Below are 6409 nucleotides of genomic sequence, written 5' to 3' on the forward strand. Positions count from 1 at the left end.
CTGGAGAGTTTTTGTGTTCCTTTGGAGGCATCATATTTTTAATTTTGCTTGTGTCTTTATATTGATATCTGCACATCTGGTATAATAATCACTTCTTCCAATTTTATGAATTGGTTTTTGTAGGGAAATACTTTTTTTTCTGTAGATGTATCTATAGCATTGATTGGATGGGGTACTTTGGCTTTGATTCTAGATGGATGCCATAGTGTCGTCTCTGTATTATTTCTTCGGCTCTAATTAGTGGCAGTGGTGTTTGTGAGTTCCTCAGTGGCTTAGGCTATGGTATTCAGTGGAGGCTGTGGTGAAGCTTTGCTAGGGACAGGGACACCAGGAGGGCCTGGTCTTTGGGCCACATTGGTGGAAGTGGTGGGCTGAATGGGCCAATCCTTGGGTCCCTGGGTAGTGTATGCAAGCACCAGTAATATCAGGTCACAGCAGGTTGATCCTTGACCCTTCAGGTGCCTTGAACTGGTGCTAGCAGTGGCAGGACTATGCTCTATGGGTGGGTGGGTTCTTGGGCCCATTGGGAAGTGTTGTCCATGTACAAGTGAATAAATTCTTGTTGATCTTTCAGTCTAGTTGGGTTAGCAGGTATATCTGCAGGTGAGTTCAATCAATCTCATGCAACAGGATTATGTAAGAAAAACATCCTGGGTGAACTTGGCAAGGCCTCCTCCTCAGTTGTCAGGGATATGGACAGGAGTTTTTTCTTCCCAGAAAATATCCCCAAGTCATCTTGAAGCCATGGTAGCACCTCCTCAGGTTGCTCCTGAGGGAAACATTTAACACATTTTAAATCTCATTCAATGATGGAGAACAAATAAATTTCATCTTATATCTTGCTTTTCCACCACTTGATTTGATTACAAGACCTGTTTTGATTACAAAAAATACCAACTACCAGCTGGGCGTGGTGGCTCATGCCTGTAATCCCAGCACTTTGGGAGGCTGAGGAGGGTGGATTACCTGAAGTCAGGAGTTTGAGACCAGCCTGACCAACATGGTGAAACCCCATCTCTACTAAAAATAAAAAAATTAGCTGGGTGTGGTGGTGGGCACCTGTAATCCCACCTACTTGGGAGGACGAAACAGGAGAATCACTTGAACCCAGGAGGTGGAGGTTGCAGTGAGCTGATATCACGCCATTGCATTCCAGCCTGGATGACAAGAAAAAAAAAATACAAACTACCAAATTCAAACTAGGTTAAGCAAAAAGGGAATAGATTTATTCACATAACCACAAAGTCTATGGGTAAGGTTGGTTTTAGGCATGGGTGAGCCTAGGAGACTACACAATATTCTTTGGACTACGACAATTGTTTTCTTTGTGTTTTGTTTCTTTTTTTGAGACAGAGTTTTGCTCTTGTTGCCCAGGCTGCTGGAGTGCAATGGCGTGACCTCAGCTCACTGCAATCTCCACCTCCCAGGTTCAAGCGATTCTCCTGCCTCAGCCTCCCAAGTAGCTGGGATTACATGCATGCGCCACCACACCTGGCTAATTTTGTATTTTTAGTAGAGACGAGGTTTCTCCATGTTGGTCAGGCTGGTCTTGAACTCCCAACCTCAGGTCGCCCACCTCAGCCTCCCAAAGCACTGTGATTACAGGTGTGAGCCACCACACCCGGCCTGGACTGTTTTTCTTTATTGTTCAACTTTGCTTTCTTTTGGATTGGTCTAATTCTTAAGTTCCAAGTACAAATAAGGCTACTAATAGATGTAGGCTCAGAATATCCCTTCAGTTAGTGCTTGCTTTACTTATAGCAAATGTTCCAGGGAAGAACATAATTGGCTTGTGTGATAGATGGAATAGTGACTCCCCAAAGATGTCACATCCCATCCCAGAACCTGCGAGTCTGTTACCTTACATGACAAAAGAAACTTTGAAGACGTAATTAAGTTAAGGTTCTTGAGATGAGATGATCCTCACTGAGATAACCTCCCCTCTTGACATTATCCTGGATTATCCAGGTGGGCCCCAAGTAATCATAGATGAAAGGCAGGAGGTCAGAGAAGAGAAGAGGTACTATGCTGTTGGACTTGAGGATGGAAGAAGGGAGCCATGAGCCAAGGAATGCAGGTGGCCTAGAAGCTGTAAAAGGCAAAGAAACACATTCTCTCCTTGAGTCTGCAGAATGAACGTAGCCCCAAGGACCCATTTTAGATTGATCTCTAGTACTGTAAAATAATAAACTTGTTGCTTTGTTTTAAGTCATTAAGTTTGTGGTAATTTGTTACCAAAGCAAGAGGAAAGTAATTCAACCTTTGATGATTGCCCCTCCCTGAGCCAACTGCTCTGATTGTGGTGGCGAGTGAGAGGTAGTCCATTGGTGTGGGTTATATACACCAATCCCTGAATCCGGGTTGGGCTAAGTCCAGTGAAACCAAATGAATGATGTGTTGGGGTGGAATGGATCTTCAACGATACGTGACTTCTCCACCCTACTCCTTATAGCTGCCTAGCAGCCCTTTATACACATGAAATGTAAAACGTAATGTGACTATTACTCAACAGCAGACAGCCCAAATTATCCTTTAGGTCCTGCATTCATTTTGAATCCAGAGCCTTCTTTTTTTTTTTTTTTTTTTTTGACAAGATCCATAATTTTTCATTCCATGAATCTACAATAAAGCTCCAAGATTATATATGTATGTAAAATTTTCAGATTATATCCTGCTCAGTTGTGTGTGTATGAAGATTAAAATAAAAAAGGTTGAAAAAGAAAGCAGATTGGTTTCTATGGTGGGTTTTTTGGGAGAGGTTTTTCTTAGTTTATTTTGAAATATGTTTGATTTCCATTAATACTGTTATAGTGGTACTTGTTCAGTAAATGGTTATTGAAAACTATGAAAAGTTCTCTGTTCTCTTTAATCTTGTTTTTCATATTTCCCCAGTTTTATTGTGGTATAATCTACTACATCTAGGATCTTTGAGTGATTCATATTCTTTTGAGTCAGGTCCATGAAATTCTACATGGCAAGAAATCTACATAAGAATCCAATAATAAATAGTGGAAGGAAACAAAAAATTACAACAAAAGTTTGCATTCAGAAGAGGGAAGAAGGGGACAAGTCGATAGCACACACACATCCTGGGGGGTCCCTGACCTGGAAGTAAATTAGGTTTTAGTATGTTGTGCTCATGGCCACATGTGAAATAGACACTGAGGAGGCTTCCACTTCTGGTGCTGTACCAAATTCCTCTTGGTACTGGTTCTCCTGCCGAGGAGGTACCTCAGGAGTTAAGCTGTCCTGAGCCTTGGTAATCCAGGCATGGGATTCCCGTGGCAATGTATTTACCTTGAAAATTTAGCATCTGCTTCTTGATTCACTTTTTCACAATTCTATGCTCTGGCAAGCAAAGACAGAAAGTTGGCAGAGGTATGGTCTGTGGGTCCCGACTCCATTTCTGTCTCTTTAGCAACAGGCCTTAATACAGGTCTATTTCTTGTAAACAATGGGCTCGGGTTGTTCTTCAGAGCGAATCTGCTCCTCATTGCTGTGCTGCATCGCAGTGGGAGGCTCTTTAGAATAGAGGTAATTATGATCATTACTTGTATAGGGAAGGCAAAGCTTTACCTCTCCTTTCTTAGGATCTTTGGCTGGGCCTGAGAGTTACATTGACATAAGATAGATGGGCAGAAGAAAATCATTTGGATTTTTACGTGTACACAGCAACTCCCAAAGAGGTGGCAAAATCTAGGCCAGCCTAGGAAACATAGTAAAACCCTATCTCTACAGTGCTTACATATTAGGTTGAACAAAGAGAGGTAATTATGGAAAAGTAATTGCCAGACCAGGGCAATAAACTGAATATCACGATTAAGTCACATAAATGTTTTGGTTTCTCAATTTATATAAAAGTTATGTTTACACTATGTTGGACTCTATTAAATGTGCAATTGCAGTATGTCTTAAAACTATGAACATACTTTAATTTAAAAATACTTTATTGTGGCTGGCAGTGGCTCATGCCTGTAATCCCAACACTTTGGGAGGTGGAGGTGGGCAGATCATGAGGTCAGGATATCGAGATCATCCTGTCCAACATGGTGAAACCCCGTCTCTACTAAAAATACAAAAAATAGCTAGGGGTGGTGGTGCGTGCCTGTAGTCCCAGCTACTCGGGAGGCTGAGGCAGGAGAATCGCTTGAACCCAGGAGGCAGAGGTTGCAGTGAGCCGAGATCACGGCACTGCATTCCAGCCTGGCGACAGAGTGAGACTCTGTCTCAAAGCAAAAAACAAACAAACAAACAAAAAAACCCCAATTTATTGCTCAAAAATGCTAACAATCATCTGACTCTTTAGTGAGTTGTAATCTTTTTGCTGGTAGAGGGTCTTGCCTTGATGTTGATGGCTGCTGATTCCTCAGGGTGGCGGTTGCTGAAGGTTGGGGTGGCTGTGGCAATTTCTGCATCATTTTTGCAGTGACTTTCTCTACTTAAGTTTGAATCCCTTGAAGCCGCCCATGAGGATTAGAATCAATTTCTTCCAAACTTCTGTTAATGTTTATATCTTGACTTCCTCCCATGAATCACAAATATTCTTTTTGGCATCAAGAATGGTGAATTCTTTTCAGAAGGGTTTAAATGTACTTTTCCCTGATCCATCAGAGGAATGACTATCTATGGCAGCTTTAGCCTTACAAAATGTATCTCTTAAATATGACTTAAAGTTGAAATTACTCCTTGATATATGGGCTACAGAATGGATACTGTGTTAGCAGGCATGAAAACATTAATGTCCTTGTACATCTCCATCAGAGCTCTTGGGTGAGCAGGTACACTGTCAAAGAGCAATAATATTTGAAAGGAATCTTTTTTTTGAGCACGAGGTCTCAACCATGGGCTTTAAATAGTAAACTCTGCTGTAAAGAGATGTGCTGTCATACCGGCTTCGTTGTTTCATTTACAGAGCACAGGCAGAATGGATTTAGCATCATTCTTAAGGGCTTAGGATTTTTCAGAATGGTACATCAGCGTTGGCTTCAACTGAAAGTCACCAGCTGCATTAGTCCGTAGTATGAGTCAGCCTGTCCTTGGACGCTTTGAAGCCAGGCATTGACTTCTCCTCTCTGGCTATCAAAATCCTAGATGGCACGTTCTTCCACTAGAAGGCTGTTTTATCTACATTGAAAATCTTTTGTTCAGTGTAGTCACTTTCATCTGTCATCTTAGGTAGATACTCTGGAGAACTTGCTGCAGTTTCTACATTAGCACTTGCTGCTGCACTTGCACTATTATGTTATGGAGACTTCTTTCCTTAAACCTCATGTACCTACCTCGGCTGGCTTCCAAGTTTTCTTCTGCAGCTTTCTCACCTCTCTCAGCCTTCACAGAATTGAAGAGAGTTGGGCCTTGCTCTAGATTAAGCTTTAGTTTAAGGGAATGTTGTGGCTGGTTTAAACTTCTATCCAGAGCATTAAAACTTTCTCCATGTCAGCAATCCAGCTGTTTTGCTTTCCTGTCATTTGTGCATTCACTGGAGTAGCACTTTTAATGTCCTTCAAGAACCTTTCCTTTGCATTCACAATGTGGCTGTTTGGCACAAGAGGTCTAGCTTTCAGTTCATCTTGGGTTTTGACATGCCTTCCGATTTAAAATGAGATATGTCGGTCTTCCTTTCACTTAAACACTTAAGAGTCCACTGTAAGGTTATTAATTGGCCTAATTTAAACATTGTTATGTCTCAGTGAATAAGGAGGCCCAAGGAGAGGGAAAGGGATGGGGGAATGGCCGGTACTGGGGCAGTGAGAACATACACGACGTTTATGGATTAAGTTCACTAGTCTTATAGGGGTATGTTTCATGACACCACAAAACAATGATCATAGTAATATCAAAGATCACTGATCGAGCTAGACATGGTAGCCCACACCTGTATTCCCAGCACTTTAGGATGCTGAGGTGGCAGGATCACTTGAGGCCACAACTTGGAGACCAGTCCAGGTAATATAGGGAGACCCCATCGCTACAAAAAATATATATACATATATAGTTTATTTTAAAAAATAAAAAAATAAACACTAAGATCTCTGATCACAGATCACCATAACAGATATAATAATGAAAAAGTGTGAAATATTGCAAGAGTTGCCAAAATGTGACACAGAGACACAAAGTGAGCACATGATACTGGAAAAAATGGGGCTGATAGACTTGCTTGAAGCAGGGTTGGCACAATCCCTTAATGTGTAAAAAGCACAATATCTGTGAAACACACGAAAGCAAAGTGCAATATAAGGTATGCCTGTATATAAAATAAACATACATAGATACTATACATATAAATGTGCATATATGTATATATTAACGTCTTCAAATAGAAACACACAAAGAACAAAGCTATGTATTAATTCATTAACATGGAACTCACAGCCAACAGCATTATAACTCACTCCTATAATATGTA

The sequence above is a fragment of the Homo sapiens genome, chromosome 4, assembly GCF_000001405.40.
Source record: "Homo sapiens chromosome 4, GRCh38.p14 Primary Assembly".
NCBI classification, from domain to species: Eukaryota; Metazoa; Chordata; class Mammalia; order Primates; family Hominidae; genus Homo; species Homo sapiens.